This window comes from Homo sapiens, chromosome 2 (genome assembly GCF_000001405.40).
Source record: "Homo sapiens chromosome 2, GRCh38.p14 Primary Assembly".
Taxonomy (NCBI): domain Eukaryota; kingdom Metazoa; phylum Chordata; class Mammalia; order Primates; family Hominidae; genus Homo; species Homo sapiens.
The window spans coordinates 101,000,216-101,024,927 of NC_000002.12; the positions used below are offsets into that span (position 1 = coordinate 101,000,216).

The 24,712-nt window shown below is 43.1% G+C and overlaps 2 protein-coding genes, 1 long non-coding RNA gene and 1 pseudogene across 7 annotated transcripts in view, besides 4 other annotated features; 2 read left to right on the forward strand and 2 right to left on the reverse strand.

Moving 5' to 3' along the window:
- Nucleotides 1,734-2,273: an enhancer, noted in NCBI's record as "active region_16296". NCBI's record gives its function as "activates an Ori minimal core promoter by ATAC-STARR-seq in GM12878 lymphoblastoid cells {active_cell/tissue: GM12878}" and the evidence as "EXISTENCE:reporter gene assay evidence [ECO:0000049][PMID:35858748]".
- Nucleotides 2,074-19,509, forward strand: RPL31 (ribosomal protein L31). Of its 3 annotated transcripts, none has more exons than NM_001098577.3 (5): nucleotides 2,074-2,100; nucleotides 2,487-2,593; nucleotides 3,943-4,068; nucleotides 5,744-5,856; nucleotides 18,783-19,509. In NM_001098577.3, exons 2-5 carry the CDS (start codon nucleotides 2,487-2,489, stop codon nucleotides 18,821-18,823), a joined length of 387 nt encoding a protein of 128 aa, NP_001092047.1. In that variant the 5' UTR covers nucleotides 2,074-2,100; the 3' UTR covers nucleotides 18,824-19,509. The 3 variants fall into 3 exon arrangements, with proteins under 3 accessions (NP_001092047.1, NP_000984.1, NP_001093163.1); NM_000993.5 differs by lacking the exon at nucleotides 18,783-19,509 and adding an exon at nucleotides 6,135-7,052; NM_001099693.2 differs by lacking the exon at nucleotides 18,783-19,509 and having other exon boundaries at nucleotides 5,744-6,203.
- Nucleotides 2,410-3,064: an enhancer, noted in NCBI's record as "NANOG-H3K27ac-H3K4me1 hESC enhancer chr2:101619087-101619741 (GRCh37/hg19 assembly coordinates)". NCBI's record gives its function as "activates a minimal SCP1, AML or CMV promoter by ChIP-STARR-seq in naive H9 embryonic stem cells {active_cell/tissue: H9 hESC(naive)}" and the evidence as "EXISTENCE:reporter gene assay evidence [ECO:0000049][PMID:30033119]".
- Nucleotides 4,534-5,034: an enhancer, noted in NCBI's record as "H3K27ac hESC enhancer chr2:101621211-101621711 (GRCh37/hg19 assembly coordinates)". NCBI's record gives its function as "activates a minimal SCP1, AML or CMV promoter by ChIP-STARR-seq in naive H9 embryonic stem cells {active_cell/tissue: H9 hESC(naive)}" and the evidence as "EXISTENCE:reporter gene assay evidence [ECO:0000049][PMID:30033119]".
- TBC1D8 (TBC1 domain family member 8) overlaps nucleotides 7,013-24,712 on the reverse strand; it is a 144,155-nt gene continuing 126,455 nt past the window's right edge. For all 3 annotated transcript variants that reach the window (NR_138475.2, NM_001102426.3, NM_001330348.2), the window contains 5 exons: nucleotides 22,066-22,306; nucleotides 21,466-21,531; nucleotides 11,236-11,325; nucleotides 10,714-10,811; nucleotides 7,013-8,058 (listed from right to left, as the gene is read on the reverse strand). Coding sequence is in view for 2 of the 3 variants with exons in the window: in NM_001102426.3 (NP_001095896.1) it covers nucleotides 7,606-8,058; nucleotides 10,714-10,811; nucleotides 11,236-11,325; nucleotides 21,466-21,531; nucleotides 22,066-22,306 (948 nt within the window). In the remaining variant the exon portion in view is untranslated. The remainder of the gene's footprint in view (nucleotides 8,059-10,713; nucleotides 10,812-11,235; nucleotides 11,326-21,465; nucleotides 21,532-22,065; nucleotides 22,307-24,712) is intronic.
- Nucleotides 12,232-12,301: an enhancer, noted in NCBI's record as "active region_16297". NCBI's record gives its function as "activates an Ori minimal core promoter by ATAC-STARR-seq in GM12878 lymphoblastoid cells {active_cell/tissue: GM12878}" and the evidence as "EXISTENCE:reporter gene assay evidence [ECO:0000049][PMID:35858748]".
- On the reverse strand, nucleotides 13,517-14,178 carry LOC100420429 (ubiquitin specific peptidase 15 pseudogene; annotated as a pseudogene).
- LOC105373510 (uncharacterized) lies at nucleotides 23,142-23,817 on the forward strand. The gene is made up of 2 exons (XR_923107.3): nucleotides 23,142-23,485; nucleotides 23,625-23,817. It is a non-coding gene; the product is annotated as an uncharacterized LOC105373510 (long non-coding RNA).

Here is a 24,712-nt window from a genome sequence, read left to right on the forward strand (position 1 = left end):
TTTATTACAGTAACACTTTTACTACCTCTAATGGATGGTACCCTAGAAAGCTGTCCCTTAATCCCTCTCTAGGTGCTGGGAGCCAGATAGAAGGGGCAAGATCACATCTTCAGAGTGTGATTGCAGGGAGTCAGGATCAGAACAATGATCCCAAAAGGGCCATGGGGTATGAAAGGCCTGAGGCAGGCTTTAGGGTGCCTGAGCATGAGGAAGAGGAGGCAGAAAGGAGATGAGAGCAAGCATCATTTGGTTGAAACAAATTGTGCCAGCCCCTCTTCTTCTTTGTTAACAGAACCCCACTTCTGTGCATTAAAAGCAACGTGTCTATCTTGTAATCCTAGCACTTTGGGAGGCCGAGGCGGGCGGATCACGAGGTCAGGAGATCAAGACCATCCTGGCTAACACGGTGAAACCCTGTCTCTACTAAAAATACAAAAAATTAGCCGGGTGTAGTGGCGGGCGCCTGTAGTCCCAGCTACTCAGGAGGCTGAGGCAGAAGAATGGCGTGAACTCGGCAGGCGGAGCTTGCAGTGAGCCGAGATCGCGCCACTGCACTCCAGCCTGGGCAACAGAGCGAGACTCCGTCTCAAAAAACAACAACAACAACAAAAGCAATGTGTTTAGCCCAGGCCACAAAATACACAACCCATCATTAGGCCAAGGTAATCGTGACAATCCCATTTGCTTTTGGCAGGCATGTGCTCTCCCAGCCTAACTGAAATGGAGTCCCTAGTCCTAACCAATGACAGGCAGAAATCTACTGGAGGTTTCTGGAAAGGCCTTTGGAGTCTGATAAGAGACATGGGGGGAGGCTTCCTTGTCCACCACCATCTCTTGCCTTTGAGGACTGCTGGGATACCTAGAAGTGCAACATCTACCCTGATACAGGATGCAAAGATTCCTCATGAGATCAGAGTCCCTGTTCCAGCCCTGAAATTGCCTGCCTCCAGTCTCGTCTGTGAGGTCTTGAAACATGTCCATTGCTGAAAACCCTGTTAGTAGGTTAGGGGTGACTTGGTCCGGGCATTTTCCCATTCACCAAAGTGCCAGGCATTAAGTGGGCCCTTTCAACTTGGAACATCAAGCTCCTTCGTTCTGGGAAATTTCCTTAAATTCAAGGTACCATCGTCATGAAATTTCTGAACTTTAAAGAGAAGATCCTAAAATCTTTCAGAGAGAAAAAAATGACGCATCACTTCTCACCACACTGAAAAACTGAAGACAATGAAGCCTGCCTTCAAAATGCTGGGGAGAAATTCTTTTCAATCTAGAATTCCATACAAGCCAGAATTTAAATTTGAGGGTTGAATAAATACTCAGGTATTTGAGGGCTCATAAACTTTTTAGCTAGTGTACTCATCTTAAGAAACCACTAAAAATGGTGTGCTCCTGTGAAAGAAGGGAGTTCGACAAGAAAAAGGAAGACATGGGTCCATAGATCCAACTGTCTCCGAATCTCTAGACTGGTGACACGCAGTTCCCAGTTCTCTGGGGACCTCCTCAGATCTCCCTGTCGTGTCATCTCACATCTGTCATCTCTCAGGTCATATCCAACACACTGGGCCACCCACGCACAGGGACGACGCGACAGCCCTGTGGCTCCACCGCACAGGACAGCCACGACTGGCAATCCTGTGCCGGCCCTGCTCGACGCAAGCACCTCCAGCGCCGGGTTGCGTCTTAGTGACCCTGGGACCGCCAGCCAGGCACCGCGCCCGACGCAGGCTCAGTCAGTGTTGGTCGGATGCATGAATGAATGGGAAAAACGAAGTCTCTCTCTCCCTGGCCCTGCTCCCATACATCTGTAGGCCTAGGTCTTGGTTTTATCCGAAGACTTAGAGAAGGGACGCAAGTTCCTTCGCGGAGCCAGAAGGAATCCGTCGAGAAGCGGGACCTCAAGCTCGCGGCCCAAAAGCGCGGCCCCGCCACGACGCCTGCTAGCTGGCCCCACTTCGGCGCGCGCCGCTTACATCATAGCTCGCCTCTCCCCTTCCCTAGCCACACCCCCTTGCCTGGCGACCCGGAAGTTGTACTTGCAACTGCGGCTTTCCTTCTCCCACAATCCTTCGCGCTCTTCCTTTCCAACTTGGACGCTGCAGAGTGAGTATGGGTGGCGGAGTCTGGGCTCCTGGAATCCAGCCCCATCCTCCTTTGGGATTGTGCTAACTGGGACCGCAAAATCTCTCCCGAGCCAGCCCGGGGCTCCGGTTGTGGGGAGATGGGAATACACCCTGCTTTTAAAGGCTCCCAGAGCCTGAGGAAGAAAGTGACCAGGCTTAGGGGAGCCGGAGCGGCAGGGATTTCCGGGTCGGAGGCATCTGAGGGGCGCAGGGGCGCGGGTGCGTGGGCCACTGGGTGACCGACTTAGCCTGGCCAGACTCTCAGCACCTGGAAGCGCCCCGAGAGTGACAGCGTGAGGCTGGGAGGGAGGACTTGGCTTGAGCTTGTTAAACTCTGCTCTGAGCCTCCTTGTCGCCTGCATTTAGATGGCTCCCGCAAAGAAGGGTGGCGAGAAGAAAAAGGGCCGTTCTGCCATCAACGAAGTGGTAACCCGAGAATACACCATCAACATTCACAAGCGCATCCATGGAGTGTGAGTATCCCTCTAGCCGCCCTGGGTCTCGAACTCACGCGTCTGGTTGTTACCGAGAGATGTGCCGAATCACCTCCACCCCAATCTTTTCCTCTTGTGGCCTTCCCTGTTTCATTCATTGGCAATTTAACAAATCCTGTGGGCTCTACCCTCCGAATACATTCACAGTCTGACCAGCTGCATTGGTCTTTCTGACCGCCCCCATTATTCTTTCTTAGCCGAATGCGGACAGCAGCAGCTCCCTACTCCTGTTCCCTTCCCTACCCAAACATGCGTGGTCTATTCTCAGATCCTCCATCGGCCTTCTATCTTAGGTTAGAAATCAAGAGTTCTTGCCATGATCCCACATTGGCTGACCCGCTTAATCATACCGGGCATGCTTTTGTTTCAAAGTAGCTACTTTGTTGAATTTTTACCCTTTTTTTCCCTATGCCTGAATGTTTTTTCCACAAATAAATGCTTCGTTGCCTTCAGACTTTGAGTCCAATATCACCCTGGCCATCTGTTTTGTTTTGTTTTGTTTGAGACGGAGTCTTGCTCTGTCTCCAGCCTGGAATGCAGTGGCGCGCTCTCGGCTCACTGCAACCTCCGCCTCCCGAGTAGCTGGGATTACCGGACCCCGCCACCACACCTGGCCCACCTTGGCCGTCTTATAGAAACTTGCAGTCCCCTTCCCTAATGCTTTATTTTCCCTGGTTTGTCTTTCTCTGTAGTACTAGATACCATCTGATGTACTCAATAGGTTGCTTACATAAGCTGTGTGAAGAACAAGGGATTGCCAGCTGCTGTTATTTCTAGTACCGTTTACTTCTGGATGTTTTAAGTATTTAAGTGAAGTGAGCTTGCTTGATGGGTTCATAGCGCTAACTACTGCCATTCATCATACTCAAGAAGCGACCTGCCTGCACACTTCAGGCCCCTGCTCTTTAAGCATAGATGAAGTCAATAGCATTGAATGATCTGTTCCAAAAACATGTCCTGTCTTAAGACATGACATTTAATCAAATTTAGTATTTTGATTGAGGACTTCAGAAAGTGGATTATGCATCTTCTTGTCCTAAGTGTTATGCTAATTGCTGGGCATTGCACACTGGTGGGAAAAAAGGATTGTTACTGCCTAGTTTAAGGGTTGGTTTAGGCTGGTTTTAGGAGGACATACCATCTACAGTAAGTCTTCACTGAGCTTTAAGCACACTGGCCTACTGTATGCTGTAAAAACTTGGTTTTGTTACATAAGACATTGCTTAAAGTCAGTTTCCAGGAGCCTATCATCGACATTGAGGATTTCTCACATGTACCTAATTTAGTTTTGTGCTCCTTTAATTTGTTCACTTATGTTTGAATCGTAGGGGCTTCAAGAAGCGTGCACCTCGGGCACTCAAAGAGATTCGGAAATTTGCCATGAAGGAGATGGGAACTCCAGATGTGCGCATTGACACCAGGCTCAACAAAGCTGTCTGGGCCAAAGGAATAAGGTGCTAAAGTTATCTGTATTCGAAGGTGAACTTTTGCAATGACACCAGCTTCACTTAACCCTGCAAGAGCCCATATCAGTTCAGTAATTTGGTTAATGCATGTGGAAGTATAAAAAAAAAAAATACTGTGACCGTGACTTAGGGTGTGTAGTATCTGCAGGGAAGCCCCTTAATTTAGTGGCTTATGAACTGAGACCCAAGGGAAGGAGCCAGCAGTGTAGGGTGGGAAAGAGCATTGCAGAGAGAGGAAGCTTGGCAGGATCTGGGAGCGGGGTGGTGAACGCAGGTAAAGTGGAATAAATCACTGTGAGCCCAGTGGAGGAGGGAGGGGTGAGGGTCGCTCTAGACATCATGGCAAGTCCACCAGGAGAGAAGTGGTTCTTGGCCTGCGGCAGTTTTACCTGTCCTTCCCGGGGTTGTGGCGGGGGTGGGGGGCAGTGTTTTTTGTCACTACTGAGGGATACTGTGGGCCAGGGACTACTAAACATCCTACAACTCATGGGGCTGCTCCCTCAACAAAAAATTGCCTAGCTCAGATGTTAGTTCTCATGTTGGGGGACCCTGCTCTAAAGTGGAACCAGAAAGCAGGGGAGGCTTGTGCTGTAAAGGACGTCATGAGGTGCCAGAACAGAAGTGGAGTGAGGGGCAGCTAGAGGAATGATGACAGTGTGGACTAGTTGATTCTGGAAACGGGTTGGGGGAGGACTGTCTGCATCTGTGTGGTATTTAAACCTTAGGATTAAGTGAGATGAACAAGACAGGGACCTGAGACCTAGCTCTTCTGTGGGTGGACATTGAAGGGTGCAGCAGGAGAGGTGTCCTCCGATGCCTGCCTTGGGATAAGAGGAATGGGATTACAGGAGCCAAGAGAAGTCCTGAGTTTATAGGAATCGGGGCCTAGAACAATACCCGGCATCGATAGAGGAAAGAGAATCAGCTGTGATGCTACGGAGAGGGTAAGACAGGACAAGGGGATTGCATGTGGAAGATAGAGAAATAGAGTATGCGCCTGTGGCAGAGTTTTTAACACTGTTTTTTGTTCGTTTTGAGATGGAGTTAATGTTGCCCAGGCTGGAGCGCAATGGCGTAGTCTCAGCTCACTGCAACCTCCACCTCCTGGGTTCCAGCTATTTTCCTGCCTCAGCCTCCCAAGTAGCTGGGATTACAGGCAGCCGCCACCACGCCTGGCTCTTAGTTTTGCATTTTTAGTAGAGAGGGGTTTTACCATGTTGGCCAGGGTGATCTCGAACTCCTGACCTCAGATGATGCACCCACCTCAGCCTCCCAAAGTGCTGGGGTTACAGGGGCAAGCCACCATGCCGTTTCTTCATATTTTAATGTAACAGAAAAATCACGTAACAAAGTTTCTGGTGATAGACAAAAGACTAACACATTTGGACCATTTGGACCCAGATATCTGCTTAGGATTAACCGGTTGGGTATCAATGGTGGCTACCTTAACATGTCTTCAAACAAGCATCCCTCCTGTGGTAACAGCATTTAATGTTCACCTGGGGGTTATGTTTCATTTTCCAGGGAACTGTAAGTTCTAGGTTGGTCAGAGTAGAGCAAAGGACAGCATTAGAAGCAGGCATATGAGATATGTGAATACAGCTAGTGGCTGCTTGGTTGAAAGGAGGCATTGACTTCAGCAACACAATTATGTTTTTATTAGGAATGTGCCATACCGAATCCGTGTGCGGCTGTCCAGAAAACGTAATGAGGATGAAGATTCACCAAATAAGCTATATACTTTGGTTACCTATGTACCTGTTACCACTTTCAAAAGTAAGTTCTCCATCCCATAAAGCCATTTAAATTCATTAGAAAAATGTCCTTACCTCTTAAAATGTGAATTCATCTGTTAAGCTAGGGGTGACACACGTCATTGTACCCTTTTTAAATTGTTGGTGTGGGAAGATGCTAAAGAATGCAAAACTGATCCATATCTGGGATGTAAAAAGGTTGTGGAAAATAGAATGCCCAGACCCGTCTACAAAAGGTTTTTAGAGTTGAAATATGAAATGTGATGTGGGTATGGAAATTGACTGTTACTTCCTTTACAGATCTACAGACAGTCAATGTGGATGAGAACTAATCGCTGATCGTCAGATCAAATAAAGTTATAAAATTGCCTTCATGTTTTTGTTCTTTTTAGTTGCAACATAATGTACTTGTATACCCTATCCTAATTATGGGATCATTTGAAGAGCTTTTCCCAAATTGATGGCCTGTGCTGCCTTCTCCCCATCCCCTGGGGTTTTAAAGTGATTTCAAACTGCAACCTAGTTTTAGAACCACTGTTCTGGGTAGTTGGGATACTGAAGGCATATTGTTAATTATTCTACTTGTATGTTTTGCTAATTCTAAGATAAGCATTTTTCCAGAAACCAGGATGTAGAATCCAGTTGCCATTGACATCTTAACATTTTAGGAAACAACTTTAAAATGATATACTATCTATCTATCTATCTGTAGCATCTTAAAGGTAATGAAATTAATGTGGCAGTAGGTCTTTTAAGCTTCTGCCTACATCCATATTGAGTATAGTTGTTGTCTTCTAAAATAATTAATTGATTTTTGGTGAGATAACCAGATTCATATTTTAAGCCTTTTGTAATGGCCCCGTGGTACCTGGAGTCAAGGTTCAGAAGTAAAAAGTTCCTTAAGGTATCAATAACAAAAATTTGTATTAATAGTTCAGTCCTAAAGCAGTGTTGCTGAGATTATGTTTCACCAGCATTTACAAGCTGTATGTTAAATGCTGCCATAAAGAGGTCTCTGAAGCCGTAGGGCACACCCAAGGCAGGGCTGAGAAGTACCTAGTAGTGTTGCACCACCCAAAAACCATGGATGGGCAGCAGCAACATCTCCAGCTTACCCATTCACTGCCACAGTCTACAGCTTAAGACACTTAACTACAAGGTAAAAGAAAAGGACCAAGTAAATACAAAAAGTTTCTTATTAAAAAACTTGGAAGCCAACATTGAAAGCATGGTTTGTACACAACAACATTTTTGGAAGGACATATAAAGTGAATACAACCAAATATATTAAAATGGTTTCAATTACCAGCATTGAAACAGTGCAAAAAAAAGCCAAATACAATTGCACAGATAGTGGACTCCCTTAGATCTTGAAAGTGAACTTGATTCCTGACCTCTCCCATTGTCACTCCAAGTGAAAAATGAAAGCATGGGGCTTTTCTTGCTTCTTGGTTAGTATGAGACATTGTGTTCATCTGAGAGCAAAATCAACACTAGCATCACAGCAGAAGTGCCCATTTCAGCAAATCCGGTAAAAATTGTAAGTTGGCATCAAGGGAACCAATGGATACCTTAGGGCACTGACAATTCTCAATACATAGAAATGCTTGAGGGTTGTGTCGGTTCCCCTGGCCACAGTTTGTCAGGTTGTTTAGCCAGATGCCCCATTGGTAAGGTAGACTGAAATCTCGGTTTAGGGCTGACCCCAAGAAACAGTCTGGTTCGTGCTTTGGTATGGTGGACTCCAGTGTGCATAGCAGCTGCTGTCTTGCTACAAGTTACTCAGCTTAAGTTCAGATTGTGATTGGTGGCTCATTTCAAAAGTTTTGAGATTGTACTGATTGATCTTGGCATTTTCAAGTTTGGATTTCATGTCCAGTGGCTTTTCAAAAAAGTTGACTAATGACTGTTCAGTCAGAAGTGAAGCTAAAATATGTTCAAGGGAGACAGTCCAGTCCCTTTCTGCCGCCTCTGGAAATGCCTGGGAGTCCTGGGGCGTCTTCCCAGTGTCTGCAAAAACCGAGTCCTCAGGAGAAGGAGCTGAAGCCCGCAGCTCCTCCCCACACTCCTGGGAGCAGCTTCCAGAGCTGCTGCCTCGCTGCCCCACCTCCCCGATCTGCAGCAGCAGTGTGGTGACTGTGGCGATGGCTTGATACAAATCATTTTCTTCTGGATCTTCATGGAACATACTGTACAGAGTTTTACAGAACTGGATAAATTCTCTCTGAAATTGAAATAAGTCTTAGGTAGCAGCAGAACCAGGGTGGAAGTGTCATTTTTTTTTTTAAACATACCTGTGAGCTTTGAGAAAACGACACAGTATTTTTGAAGACACAGAATATAAGAAAAGGTAGTCTCTGCCTTTCCACTCTAAACTATTAACAGTGGTGATTCCTGGGAATTTCAGCACAGACTTGGAAATGGGTAGACCTTCCTAGAGGATGTGCACACCCTTTAACAAAGCAATTCAAGAAACCACAGCAGGCTGGGCACAGTGGCTCCCGCCTGTAATCCCAGCACTGTGGGAGGCCGAGGCAGGCGGATCACCTGAGGTTGGGAGTCAGACCAGCCCAATCAACATGGAGAAACCCCATCTCTACTAAAAATACAAAATTAGCCAGGCATGGTGACCCATGCCTGCAATCCCAGCTACTTGGGAGGCTGAGGCAGGAGAATCGCTTAAACCCAGGAGGCAAAGGTTGTGGTAGTCAAGATCACACCATTGCACTCCAGCCTGGGCAACAAGAGTAAAACTTTGTCTTAAAAAAAAAAAAATGAAACCACAGCAACGTACAGATTTATCTGTAGGGATCTTTAAGCTAGAGTTTATAATAGGAAAATGCTGGAAACAGCTGAAACGCTATAAAGTTAGGGCATGTTCCTCTGGTGGGAAGGCCATGCAGGACCTAAATGTAAAATGAAATGGAAGAGTGATGCCTGTTGTTTTCTCAGTGTAATCTGAGACACTGCTGCTGAAATTGAGAATACGTAATGTGAGGACAGGTGCTTCAGGTGGAATCTAGCTACACAATTACTCCAAGAATAGAAAAATGGTTGGGTATGGCCGGGTGCGGTGGCTCATGCCTGTAATCCCAGCACTTTGGGAGGCCAAGGCAGGCGGATCACGAGGTCAGGAGATTGAGACCATCCTGGCTAACACCTGGCTAACATGGTGAAACCCTGTCTCTATTAAAAATACAAAAAAAATTAGCCGGGCTTGGTGGCGGGCGCCTGTAGTCCCAGCTACTCGGGAAGCTGAGGCAGGAGAATGGCATGAACTTGGGAGGCGGAGCTTGCAGTGAGCCGAGATCGTGCCACTGCACTCTAGCCTGGGCGACAGAGTGAGACTCTGTCTCCAAAAAAAAAAAAAAAAAGAAAAATGCTTGGGTACTAATATAACAAATATTTATTTGGGGGAAAAGATCCATGGTTATTCTGAAAGGAAACCTGAGTATGAACATGGCCCGTTTTGTTTGAAACATCATCTATAGAAAAAAAAAGGTTATGTGTATCAGAATGTTAATACTGATAGCTCTGAGTGATGAAGTTTAACTCATTTTGATCATATATCCAGAGAGTAGAATGAGCATCTGAGAGCAATTCCCAGCACAGTAGACGAGCAGCATTTCTCAAACATGCTACGAAACACTAATCCCACAAGATGTTTTGTGGTCAAAAGAAAAAAAAGACTGAGAAACTGCATGCTAAATTCTACTCTTGAAGGGTCGTAGTCCACAGCACCAAAATGACTTAAGTCCTATAAAAAAGGAGCTTTTTCTTTTTTTTTTTTGAGATGGAGTCTCGCTCTGTCGCCCAGGCTGGAGTGCAGTGGTGCGATCTCGGCTCACTGCAAGCTCCGCCTCCCGGGTTCATGCCATTCTCCTGCCTCAGCCTCCCGAGTAGCTGGGACTACAGGCGCCCGCCACCACGTCCAGCTAATTTTTTTTTTTGTATTTTTAGTAGAGACGGGGTTTCACCATGTTAGCCAGGATGGTCTCAATCTTCTGACCTCGTAATCCACCCGCCTCGGCCTCCCAAAGTGCTGGGATTACAGACGTGAGCCAAAAAGGAGCATTTTTAACTTTAAGCCTACATTTCCTAAACATTGGGAGGAACCATTTTCAAAATGAAACAAACCATATGGAACCTGAATATGGCACAACCCTTTTCTGGAAGATGCTCAGAAGTTTTAGAGACTCCTCTATCAGTACTGTGTATCATGCAGCCAGTGATTTCCCAGGAAATGGAGCAAGCACAGTATTTTTGAAGGGAAGAATGCTGTATCCACAGTGGCCCCAAATACTTCTACCTCCCAGAGGAATAAATCTGTATCACAACCTGGATAAATGAATTTTATACAAAAACTCCTCAAAGATGTGAAGTGTGTGGCAGCCTCCTGTTTTGAAGCGATTTGAATATCTGAAGTATCTTCAGTTGATCACAATTTAGTATTTCCAATTTAATCACTATGATGTTCCGCTACCTGGACTTTGCAGGTAAAGGGGCCCAAGCTTGATTCTCAGATTAATCATCTGAAAAAACAGTTAATTCTCGGTCGGGCGCGGTGGCTCAAACCTGTAATCCCAGCACTTTAGGAGGCTGAGGTGGGCAGATCACAAGGTGAGAAGTTCAAGACCAGCCTGACCAACATGGTGAAACCCCACCTCTACTAAAAATACAAAAATAGCCAGACGTGGTTGCACACGCCTGTAATCCCAGCTACTCAGGAGGCTGAGGCAGGAGAACTGCTTGAACCCTGGAGGTGGAGGTTGCAGTGGGCTGAGATCGCGCCACTGTACTCCAGCCTGGGCGACAGAGCGAGACTCCATCTCAAAAAAAAAAAAAAAAGTTAATTCTCTGCACTGAAGAAAGTCCATACCTGGCTCATTTTGGGCAATTCTTTCTCAGTTTTATCTTTTTCTTTGGCTAAATCCTTAATCATCTGCTTCAGCTGTTTCTGATAATCAACTGCATCACCTTGAAACAAAGGAAAACAATATGTGGTTTAATTTAAATAAATTCAGTGACAGCAAAAAGGAAACTATGTAGGAGAGAGGAGCAAGGGGGTGAGGAATTCCACTAAGCAAATTCCATACAAAACTGGAAAGCAAGAGATTCCCCTGGAGAGCCAGTGGGTGGTAACTGGGGGACTTCTGCTCTAAGAGGACCCGTGAAACAGCAAACAGGAGGAAGGAACTTGGTGGTGGGGGCAAGGGGCAGCCACCCAGCAACACCCCCACTAGGAGCACTTCTGTCCTCTAAAGGCAGTGAGTTTGGGGATAATTCATTGGACGAAGGGAAAAGACAAGGCTGCTACAAGAAGAGGGATGAGGGCAACCCCGGTGCCTCCCGCCACTGCAGTGGTATGCAGGGGAAAGCAACAATGAAAAGAGGTACGTGCCATTGGGTTTCCCGAAAACCAGGGGTCTCGATGTTGACAACAGAGGATTCCTCAACGGCGACTGGCTGTCTCGGTCATTTTCAGTGAGTGCTTAAAAAAAGATGAGAGGTTTAAATTAAACAAATTTTCTGCCTTACCAAAACTGACAGTAATGTAGCTTTCTAGGCAACTAAAGGCTAAGCCAGCAGCTCCCAGCCTGTGGACTGTAGTTTTTGCAGGGTCCACGAACCCAAATGCACACCAAGCACTGTCTGGATACCCAGAGAAAATAAAATGTCCCCCACACCAAGTGTGCCTTTTCCCAGAGGTATGTGGAGACTGTTGTAATTAACAACATACACATTCATAGAAGGACACTGCTAATACTGATTTGGAAAAAATGTATGTAGTGAAATCCCATTTTGTAAAACTGAAATATATCCATGCACACATAAAGTACTCTAGAAATAAATACACTAAATCTCTGGGTGGTGGAGTAATTGGTAATGATGTTAAACTTTTCAGGATAGTATTTCTCTACAATGAGCACATACTGCTGTACTTACACGATTTCTTTTAAAAGTTGAAGAAAAGCCTTAGTGAATTCAAAGCAGCATCTTAGTATTAGGAGTGTTCTTAAGGATGTTAAAAATAAAACTGTCAGAACCCTCATATATTGACGATGGGAATATAAACTGGCTCAGCCACTTTAGTAAACAGTCTGGCAGTTTTTAAAAAAGTTAAAGTTACCATTTGACTCAGAAATCTCACTTCTACATATACACCCAAGAGAACTGAAAGTGTTCACATGCAAACTTGTACACAGATTGTTCACAGTAGTATTGTTCATAGTAGCCAAAAAAACACCCAAATGTTGAATAAATTGCTGAATAAACAAATCATGGCATACCCATGCAATGGAATATTTGGCCATTAAAAGGAATGAAGCACTGACGCATGCTACAGCATGGATGTGTCTTGAAAACATCATGCTAGGTGAGAGAAGTCGAACATGATACAGCAACTCCATTTATATCAAATGTCCAGGACAGGCAAATCTACAGAAACAGAAAGCTGCCTACGGCTGGGGAAAATGGATACACTGGTAGTGAGAGCTAAAGATATGACATTTATTTTCAGGGTGATGCAATGGTCTAAAATTGATTGTGGTGATCGCTGCACAACTCTGAATATACAAAAAAAAAAAAACCCATTGAATTGTACGCTTTAAACGGGTGACTTGCATGGTGCGTGAAATATATCTCAATAAAGCTGCTACAAAATAACAATTATCGGGGATGACAGGGAAGGTTCCCCATATTTTAAAAAGTTTGGAACTTATTCGTAAACCATTTCACTGAAAATAAATCAAAGGCAAAATTCAGCTGTGATTCAACAAGCTTCCACAAGATGGCAGCAAAGCTTTGGAAAGCTACCCTTACTTTTTCCAACTTTGCCCAAAACGAATTTTGTGCAGTGGCACATGTAAGAATCCACTCAAACTGAACAGGAGGAAAATTGCAAACCGTGAATGGTACCTGGGGCAGTCAGGATGGAAATGGATTTCCCAGAATAGTGCTGGGATGCCAAAGAACTTGGCGTACCACAAAGTAGAAATGTGTATACAAGTCACCAACAAAATGTGATGGGAGCCATAGAAAGGCAGCAATTAATCCAGGGGGTGGGCAAGTGTCCAGAAAGGAGGCAGGTAAAGTATTAACAGTGACAAGGAGCTGAGGGGCCAAACAACTCTCAGAGCAGAGCCTCCCAACCTCTGCCGTCACAGCATATGAAGAGAACGTCACCTGGACATGGAACTCACTGAAAATACTCATTCCACGATCTATTGATGATCAGAAGGATAGGATATTATGCATTATGGGAAATAGTAACTACTAAGAATGCATACAGTCTTTAAAAATCCTTTCAATCTTTTTACATGAGATATTTGGGCTGTTTAAACATGACCTTATTTTTCATTCCTATATATATGTAGCCTGTAATTCAAGCGTCTAAATGGATTGACAGACAATTTCTATTAAAGTGTTCATTGTGTCTCACTTCAAGTACTACCCAAGTTAAAATAAGATAAAGGATTTACATTTGGTCATCTGAAACCCTCATCTCAGACTTCTGTTTGAAGGTAGTAGGTAACTTCATTGCTCCAACAGATACCACCAGCAGGAAGGTCTCTCCTTTATAGCCTTAGGGACCTTCATTACACACTGTACATGGTTTCTATTTTCTATATCATTGTCATTGCCACTGCCATCTTCCTCACTTTCTAAATGGGATGCCTGTGGAGGCGACAAGCCAGTTCCACCATAAGTGTCTTCTCTGTAGTAGAATTCACATATGGCTTTGAACACAATCTGGCCTTCAGATGCAGTTGAGACATTACAGTAATCATCAAAATAATCCCATCTCCACCATGCTTATTTTGCAAAAGCAGTATAGGGCCTTCCTCTCATCCCTCCATAGTGGTTGGAAACAGCAATCAAATTATAGCAGCGAGGCCCTGCGCTTGGATTAATCAGAAATTCCAATACAGCCAAGTCATTGATAGGAAAATCAACTAAGTTATCTAACTTGTTTCTCAAGGATCTACTGTAAGAAAAATCACTTGAGATGCAACAGCTACTGGAGGCAGGGATCATACATCCAATTTCTTAGTGGTGGCTTCTTGACGATTTGGATACCAGGAATCTTTATCACTTAGTTTTCTTTTGTTGAAAAGGGTCTGAGGCAGTCTTTTAATTTCGCAAAAGTTTTTTTTTTTTCAAGGAAGTTTATATTCTATGTTTCCATATTTTTCAAAATCTTCTGTGGCATTTTAACTCAGGATCCCAATCCAAGGCCAGAATAGATCTTTCATCTAGCCCAAGCTGCCCATCATCGAATCAAACATGTCTGGTATCATTTCTGATGTAGCTGATATCAGGACTGCTTAACTGTTAAACTGGAGCTGATATCAGGACTGCGTGTTAAACTGGAATCTAAACTACCATTTTTTGTGCCCTGTGAGATGCTGACCTTTGCAAATTTCATCAACACATCATCCCTTTTCAAAGTCATTGTCTCCTCCAGCTAAATCTTTAGAATGACTGTTTTTTCCCTGAGGGAGGCTCTTAATCCTGGCTGGATTCATCATTTAGCCAATCTGCTTCCATTTCACCTGGTGAGCCTTCTTCCCCTATGCCGTTTGGGCCATTCCCATTATTAGTTTGGTCCTTAGAGCAGTGTAAGCATCCCTCAGTTTCTTGGGTTCCAGCAGATATCTTGACATATTGGCACGTTCTTAAAAGCAAGAGCGTACAGAGTTATCTTCAGTATTGTTTCTTAGCATAGCCGTAAGAAAAGCCTGACCAAAAAGTGAAGAATCAAGATAGTGGGTATAACTTGAGTGCCAAACTTCTCTCTTAGACAACCAGTAGTCACATGCTCTCTATCTTTGGTCCTACTGATGTTAATTTTAAACACCTCCCATTCCATAATGCTTGTAAGGTTTTTCTCCACAGCAAATATTCTGTGAAATCTATTATTTTATAGAGTCATGTGTCAATGAGAGGAATACGTTCTGAGAAATGCATCATTAGGTGATTTTGTCATTGTGCAAACATCATACAGTGGACTTACACGAACCTAGATGCTGTAGCCTACTACACACCTCGCCTATAAAGTCTGTTGTTCCTAGGCTACAAACCTGTACAGCATGTTACTGTCCTGAATACTGTAGGCAGCTGGAACACAATGGTAGCTGTGTATCTAAACTATCTAAATGTAGAAAAGGTGCTATAAAAATATGGTATAAAAGAAAAAAAAATGGTATACCTGTATAGACCACTTACTATGAATGGAGGTTGCAGGGCTGTGGAAGCTGTTCTGGGCAAATCAGTGAGTAGCGAGTGAATATGAAGGCCTAGGACATTACTGCACACTGCCATAGACTTTATAAACACTTAACTGTACTGAGTTCATTTTAAAAATATTCTTCTTCATCTTCAATAATAAATTAACCTCAGCTTACTGTAACTTTTTACTTTATAAACTTTTTGACTCTTTTGTAATAACACTTGCCTTAAAACACAAACACATTGTACAGCTGTGAAAAATATTTCCTTTATATTCTTATTCTATAAACATTTTTCTATCAAAAAAATCTTTTTAACTTTTCTGTTAAAAACCAAGACACCTAAGCCAAAAGAACAAAGCCAGAGGCATCACGCTACGTGACTTCAAACTATACTACAAGGCTACAGTAACCAAAACAGCATGGTACTGGTACCAAAACAGAGATATAGATCAATGGAACAGAACAGAGCCCTCAGAAACAACGCCGCATATCCACAACTACATGATCTTTGACAAACCTGAGAAAAACAAGCAATGGGGAAAGGATTCCCTATTTAATAAATGGTGTTGGGAAAACTGGCTAGCCATATGTAGAAAGCTGAAACTGGATCCCTTCCTTACACCTTATACAAAAATTAATTCAAGATGGATTAAAGACTTAAACGTTAGACCTAAAACCATAAAAACCCTAGAAGAAAACCTAGGCATTACCATTCAGGACATAGGCATGGGCAAGGACTTCATGTCTAAAACACCAAAAGCAATGGCAACAAAAGCCAAAATTGACAAATGGGATCTAATTAAACTAAAGAGCTTCTGCACAGCAAAAGAAACTACCATCAGAGTGAACACGCAATCTTCAAAATGGGAGAAAATTTTCGCAACCTACTCATCTGAGAAAGGGCTAATATCCAGAATCTACAGTGAACTCAAACAAATTTACAAGAAAAAAACAAACAACGCCATCAAAAAGTAGGCAAAGGATATGAACAGACACTTCTCAAAAGAAGACATTTATGCAGCCAAAAGACACATGAAAAAATGCTCATCATCACTGGCCATCAGAGAAATGCAAATCAAAACCACAATGAGATACCATCTCACACCAGTTAGAATGGCAATCATTAAAAAGTCAGGAAACAACAGGTGCTGGAGAGGATGTGGAGAAAAAGGAACACTTTTACACTGTTGGTGGGACTGTAAACTAGTTCAACCCTTGTGGAAGTCAGTGTGGCGATTCCTCAGGGATCTAGAACTAGAAATACCATTTGACCCAGCCATCCCATTACTGGGTATACACCCAAAGGACTATAAATCATGCTGCTATAAAGACACATGCACACGTATGTTTATTGCGGCACTATTCACAATAGCAAAGACTTGGAACCAACCCAAATGTCCAACAAGGATAGACTGGATTAAGAAAATGTGACACATATACACCATGGAATACTATGCAGCCATAAAAAATGATGAGTTCATGTCCTTTGTAGGGACATGGATGAAATTGGAAATCATCATTCTCAGTAAACTATCACAAGGACAAAAAACCAAACATCACATGTTCTCACTCATAGATGGGAATTGAACAATGAGACCACATGGACACATGAAGGGGAACATCACACTCTGGGGACTGGTGTGGGGTTGGGGGGATGGGGGAGGGATAGCATTAGGAGATATACCTAATGCTAAATGACGAGTTAATGGGTGCAGCACACCAGCATGGCACATGTATACATATGTAACTAACCTGCACATTGTGCACATGTACCCTAAAACTTAAAAGTATTAAAAAAAAAAAAAAAAGACAAACACGCACATTAGCCTAGGCCTACACAGGGTCAGGATCGTCAATATCAGTGTCTTCCACGTCCACATCTTGTCCCAACTGAAGGTCTTCATGGGCAATAACACACACAAAGCTGTCCTCTCCTGTGCCTTCTGGAATAGCGCCTGAAGGACCTGCCTGAGGCTGTTTTACAGTTTATTTTTTTTAATAAGTAGAAGGAATGCATGCTAAAATAATGATAAATAGTATAGTAATTACATAAACCAATAACATTCATTATCATTACCCAGTATTAGGTGTTACATGTAATTTTATATGCTATACTTTTATACAACGGCAATAGAGTTGTTTACACCAGCATCATCACAAAAACATCAGTAATGTGTTTTGCTATGGTGTTTACAATGGCTAAGATAGGAATTTTTCAGTCTCGCTGTAATCCTATGGGACCACCATCATACATGCTGTCTATCCTTGCCCAGAACGTCCCTATGTGGCACACAACAGTATATATTTATCAGTACCTACCATCTAATCTGCAGATACCCTTGGCAAAGCAGACCATGCTGTGCAAAGATCTTGTGTATTTCCAATTGTACTACACAGGTTTGGAAAGCAGATCATTCTAACAGATATCCATGGTACATCACTTTATCACAGGCAAGATAGGGTCAAGTGACAAAAAGGATAAGATGTTACCAAAATCTTGACAAGCTCAGGACTTTTTAATATTAGTTTTCATACTAATACTAACAGTGAAGCAGCTACATGCAATTCCCAATTAGGTCTTCAAAACGATGATCTCTTCAAAACAGATTGTCACCATCAGTGAGAAACCGAACAAGAAGAGGAAAGCAAATGGCATTTTCTTCTCTACTTGGTGAAAAGTCATTATAGAGGATTCGAACGGTTCCAATGCTCGCAATTCTACTTCAAGCATGTGCTCATTCTACATATCAACCCCTTTTTCACTGACAAATGTAATGTTGACAATCTAGGCTAATGGGACTAGATTTTGAATCCAATCAACACTTTTTCATATAAAGTTTTCAGAATAACAAAGCTTTCCCTCATTCATACAGATATTGCTGTACTAATCTATAATTATGTTTTAGAATTCAAATTATAACACTGACTAAACATCACTAATGAAACATTTGTGACCTCCTTTTTTCCGAAGTTTAATTTTTGCTTTGAATTCATATTTTATCAGTATGTGTTAATATAATGTCATGTGCTCTTTCAGTTATCAATTAAGTTCATTCAGGTTTTCAACGTTTTAAGTGCTTTTTTTTAAAAAGCCAATAATTACCCTTAACCAACTGCAAATTGGAATTATTCAAAAGGTTTCTCCTTTTAACTCAACTTCTTGACAGAACTCATCCTTTAGACAGCAGATGTACTTGGTTATGTATAAGACCTCAGAAGGAAACTTCTATTCCTTCACAGAAAGCTGAACACAAAGACTGGAGCAGCTTCAATTTTATTAATCAACATTTTAAGGACATCCTTTAATGTGGATTCAGGCTGGCAGGCAAACATTTCAGAGAGCCTATCTGTGAATAAAATAGCATATTCCCTGAATCTCAGAGTTCGCAGAAGGAACTCATGATGTGAGGGGTCCTCATAGGTTTGCTCAGTATACAAACTTACAGAAAAACCTCCAAATTGTCTCATTTGTGTGTGTCCATTTTCAATATAACTTTCTCAGCAGTTTGTTATGTTTCTTTCCAAGGAAAATAAAGTTCTCCCAGGAAGTTCTCCTCTGAAAGTCCAATTAGTATAATTAACTAAGCAAAATGGCCAATATCCGTAGGTTTATCAATCTGCAGTGAAAACTGTTGATGTCCTAATCTTCTGGAATGCTCTTCGTCTGTGTGTTACCTGACATGGTACCAAATCATCTGTAATATTTCTGTGCTAGTTTCTGTGCTAAACAGTGTTACAGTCGCCAAGAGCCCATAAAGGGAGCCCTCCTGGAAGTGGATGAGGCCTTGGGTCTCGGCTCTTCATTGCTTCCTGAGCTGCAGCAGATGCCTTTACAACCAAGCTCACCGAGGACGTCTGTCTCCCATATTACCCTGGCAGAGGGCCAGGCCTGTTCTACACGGCCGGGGTTTCAACAAGGTACTGATGTCTTCTGCCCTTGCCTCTTCGACAGGCAAGTAATAAGACTTAAGTGAAGAGAATTCTTTAGGCACACAAATTCACATTTGATGTAATCTCATTATACTTCCTGATCTGTGATTGAAAACTTTCATTTCGTAACTAGTATGTCTGTCCCACCTTTAAAAAGTTTTTCATTATGAAAGTAAGTATTTGTTAGAATTAAGTCTATTTAAATGAAAAAAACTTAGATATGAGTCTGCATGGCCTCAGGAAAATGATGTTTTAAAATAGAGATTTTAGGTTGTCTGCACTCTAGCTTTTTTGTCGTTTTCTTAAGGCTTTTTTAACTGCATCAAAAATTCAGATACGAAACATACACTAAAAAATAATACATCATATCTTAATTTCCACTGAACTTGATTTAAATTCAGAGTTACACAGTATGAATATCACAATCAGATATGTTCAAAAAGGTCTGAACAATTGATTTTCTGAAACCATGAAGGACTACAAATGCTTCTAATAAATCAATGTAATTAAAATGTCTTTTAGAAATAAACTTATTTGGAAACAAGTAGTAATTCATTAGAAAGTTAGATGAAGAGGCTGGGCGCGGTGGCTCATGCCTGTAATCCCAGCACTTTGGGGGGCTGAGGCAGGTGGATCACGAGGTCAGGAGATCGAGACCATCCTGGCTAACACAGTGAAACCCTATCTCTGCTAAAAAAAAATACAAAAAATTAGCTGGGCATGGTGGTGGGCGCCTGTAGTCCCAGCTACTCGGGAGGCTGAGGCAGGAGAATGGTGTGGAACCCGGGAGGCGGAGCTTGCAGTGAGCCGAGATTGCGCCACTGCATTCCAGCCTGGGCCACAGAGCGAAACTCCGTCTCAAAAAAAAAAAAAAAAGACAGTTAGATGAAGAATCAAAAATCAATCTTAGATGATAATTCAAAAGCCAATTATAAATTTAAAAATATACCATGGTGAAATTCCATCTGTACTAATCTATGCAACTTTTCTATAAATCTAAAATTATTCCAAAATAATGTTTGTTTTAAAACCAAGATAAAATAATAGAGTAAAATAAAAACAATCATGTTCTATTTAAGAATGCCAGATATAGATAATGACAACTATGGAAAGATGATGATGATGATGATGATATGATGAAGATAAACAATTATGCATGCCTTCTATGTTAATAGAAAAACATTTGTGAAAAATAAGGATAAATTAAAACTCAATTTGTATTGGCATAAAGGGCAGAAAACTTCAGTGATGCTAAACAATTTGCATTTATGATCAGTTGACAGAGAAAGGGAAACCAAAAATAAATAAATAATAAACAATTTGCACTCAAGTCATAATAGTGCATATTGTCAATGAGAAGGTCAAGGAGGGACTGCGTGGCCAGCACAGAATGCTCACTGGGGAGAGCGTGCCTAAGGTATAAGATGCCAGTTCAGCAATGGCTGCATCTGGGAGGTAGACCCAGAAAGCCCACAAGTAATGTCCAGGTGCATCTTCAATGTTTGTACAGTAGTCCCCCTCATCCGAAGTGTTAAACTGCATGCTGCTCTGAGTAATATTTTGAAATCTTGCACTGTTCCACTCCATCCCAGGCCAGACGTGAATCCTCCCTTTGTCCAGTATCTGCACAAGGTCTACACTACCTGCCTGTTAGTCCCTCATTAGCCATCTTGGTGATCAGATTGAAAAAATCGAGTGTATATAGGGTTTGGTACTATCCACAGTTTCAGGCATCCACGGGGAGTTGGGGGGGTTCTTGGGACATATGCCCAGTGGATAAAGGAGAATGTGTAAGTGCACTAATAGTTGTAAAAGCCACCAGGATATCATGGCTCTAGAATCCCCCTCAGTGCCTACCAGCCTCCCCAGGCACCATCCAACACCAGAACCACAACCACAGCACTGGGGGGACAGAGCCCTCTGGGATTTCTGATTCATCTCTATTAGTTTTTAAGATCCAAGGAACACCTTTTAGGTTTCCTTGGTCTTGTTCCCGTCAATGTCAAGTCTGATCTCATAGATACCCAAATGGCTTCCTTTTCCTGGTTTCTAGTGCTGAAATTTGGAGAAAACATGGTCTGATGCACTAGAAACATGAAATGGTTCTTCAGATTCAGTAGCCTAAAATAACTATTAAGGTAATGAGGATATGGCTCTCACACACATTCCACAGGCCAGAGGTTGTGAAGGTGTCCTCAGACCCAGGGTGTTGGAAACCAGGGTGGGGGCCCAGGAACTTGGTTTAACAGGCCCTCCAGGCAACTCTGGTGCACACTCCAGTTTGGGAGGTCCTGCCAGAGCTGTGCAGCACAGAACTCCAAACCTGTGACCTGAAACCCCAAGCCAGAAACACCTGTTGCCTCAAGCATAAGTGAACTTTAAAAAGAGAAGAGCTTCAGAGTCATGCACAAAGCTGATACTGTGTTGAAGCAGAGCACAGTCTGATTTTGCTACTTGGACTTTCTTACCTGGAGGGATATGAAGCCTGTATAATAGTTTAATCTTCTCATTCATTTCTCCATTATACATAATATCTGCAAAAAGTTTAAAAAGAGTGAGTTGATGCCAATGCTGAAAGTCCATTTGTCAGGACACAAACTCACTGTGGAGAGAACACTGGGGAAGGTCAATACCTGCCACCCCCAACTCTCCTGCCCCAGACACACACCATGGTAGCAATGAAAGTGTTAAAGACTGGGCTGGTGACTATGTGAGCTCCACGGAACTTTGTGAATGTTGTCTGGCCTCATACCTTCCAAAACATTTTAATTTTATGGACAAAAGTTAGGAACATGGCTCCCAACAAGCCACCACCACATCGTGGATGCCAAGGAAAGCAAGGTGAACAGCCTCGTATGTTGAGAGCGTGGGCCCCTCTCCCATCCCCCTTCAGAAAGTAGATCCTGAGAGGGGCCTGCAGAGTGATATTTCAAAATCATAAGTTCATGTCAGGCCAGTCACAAAAGTGTTACACCATGTGCATCTGCCTGCTCCGAAGATCCACTTTGTGTTCTGCTCACAGACCCACACCCCAAAGCACATCACTGCGAAATCCCACAGAGGCATACCGAGGCAGCTCACAAACGCTTTGAACTCGATGAGCTGGTCCATGTTGTCATCCAAGAGCCTGAACGTCCTTTCGGCGAGGATCTCCGTGTGGGCCCCGCAGGTCCAGGGCGAGACTAGCTGAAACAGGTGTGCAAACTGCCGGGCATCTATGCGGTACTGCTCAGCATAGGGCCGGCTGGGGTCGTGGCGTGAGGCCATGGGCCTGGGCTGCTCCCAGTAACAGCTCATCATATGTTCTCTCTTCAAACAAGAGGGGGAAAGGGAGTTCTTACCACTTATTGAACAAGCCACGTTATTAACACAAACAAATACAATAATAAATTACTCACAATCTCACCACTCTAACTGGATACGTAAAAGTGTTCCCTTGTTACCCTGACATCCTTACCCACATGAACATGTAATTTTCACGTTGGTTTTTTTATTAAGGTTTTTTTCTTTCTCATTGTGGTAAAATATACATAACGTAAAATGTACCAATGTAACTATTTTTAAATGTACAGTTCAGCTAACATAGTTTTCATTATAGAAGACACACAATTTTTATTCTGATATTTTCACTTAAAATCCTACTTTTTTGGCCAGGCGTGGTGGCTCACGCCTGTAATCCTAGCACTTTGGGAGACCGAGGTGGGTGGATCGTCTGCGCTCAAGATTTCGTGACCAGCCTGGGCAACACAGTGAAACCCCGTCTCTACTAAAAAATACAAAACATTAGCTGGGTGTAGCGGTGTGCACCTGTGATCCCAGCTACTCAGGAGGCTGAGACAGGAGAATCGCTTGAACTCCGGAGGCGGAGGTTGCAGTGAGCCGAGATCGCGCCACTGCACTCCAGCCTGGGCAACAGAGCGTTTTTTTTGTTTGTTTGTTTTCCTTTTTTTGAGACGGAGTCTCGCTCGGTCACCCAGGCTGGAGTGCAGTGGCGCGATCTCAGCTCACTGCAACCTCCGCCTCCAAGGTTCAAACCAGTCTCATGCCTCAGCCTCCCGAGTAGCTGGGATTACAGGTGCCCGCCACCACACCCAGCTAACTTTTTGTATTTTTAGTAGAGATGGGGTTTCACCGTGTCAGCCAGGCTGGTCTCGAACTCTTGACCTTGGGTGATCCACTCGCCTTGGCCTCCCAAAGTGCTGGGATTATAGGCATGAGCCACTGCGACTGGCCCAAAATCATATTATTTAAAAATCAAAAAGGACTAGCCAGATCTGTAGGATACAGAAGGAACTAATAACCCTGGCTACCTGTGGGGAGGGCCCCAGAGGTGGAAGTGAGACTTTTTATTGCATATTTTTAATACTTTCTCAATTCTGAACCACATGAATACATTAACAATTTTTTTTAAGTTTTTTTTTTAAGGTGAGTTGAAGTCTTGGGAATAGACTGAAAACTAACAAAACCGGCCCCATCGCTGAGGACCAGGTGAGCCTCTTCAGAATGCATCATTTCCACCCATACTAAATGACTACATCATCTCTTTGGACATCCCAATTCACAAAAGTCTGAAGTAGTTCCCAGTAACTGCAGGGTTCTTGACCATTTCAATGTCCTCTGTCCACAGGATGGGACAAAAACAAGGGCAGATGCTGTAGTCTGCAAGCTCATATCCTCAAAGAGACCAAAATGCCATTTATAATTTTACTGTCATATTCACTGCAGCCATGTTATTTAAATAGTCATTACAGAATCATGAAAATAACCACAAGAACTTTTAAGTGTGAAATAAAGGTCTCATAAATTTCTGTTCCTTAAAACCCAAGGTACACCATGAATTTCTATGTATATTCATGTAGACTGTCACATCAACATCCCATAAAATGCAGAAGAAAATGGTTGTAATGCATATGCCAAGGACAAATATTAGTTTACATAGAATGCCACAGGAAAACAAACCACTATAAAAATAGGCAAAGGATATGAACAGGTGATTCAAAAGAGTAGAGAACTAGCCAATAAACATGAACTGGCACTCAACCTCATTAATGAGAAAACAAGTTTAAATTAAAATGAAATGCAATTTTCCACTGGACTAGCAAAATTTTAAAAGATCCATGATATTAAATGCTGGGTGGGTGTGGAGTGTGGGGAAATGAGTCCTCTTAGACACCATCAGTGGGACTGTAATTTTTTTTTTTTTTTTTTTTTGAGACAGAGTCTCACTCTTGTTGCCCAGGCTGGAGTGCAGTGGCACGATCTTGGCTCACTGCAACCTCTGCCTCCCAGGTTCAAGCAATTCTCCTGCCTCAGCCTCCCAAGTAGCTGGGATTACAGGTGCATGCCACCACACTCGGCTAATTTTTGTATTTTTAGTAGAGACGGGATTTCACCATGTTGGTCAGGCTGGTCTCAAACTCTGGACCTCAAGTGATCCACCCGCACTGGCCTCCCACAGTGCTGGGATTACAGACATAAGCCACCGTGCCCGGCCAGAACTGTAATTTGAAAAAATTAAAAAAGCTTTAGCAGTATTGACTAAAGTTGAATATATACGTCACCCATGACCCAACAGTTCCACCTCAAGGAACCCATTCTACAGAATCAGCAGCACTGGGGTCCAGGAAATGCACAGGTGCTCAGTGTCAAGCAGCAACGACCGGAAGCAACACAAATGTCACTCAAGAGATGAATAATTAAATATATCAGAGTTCG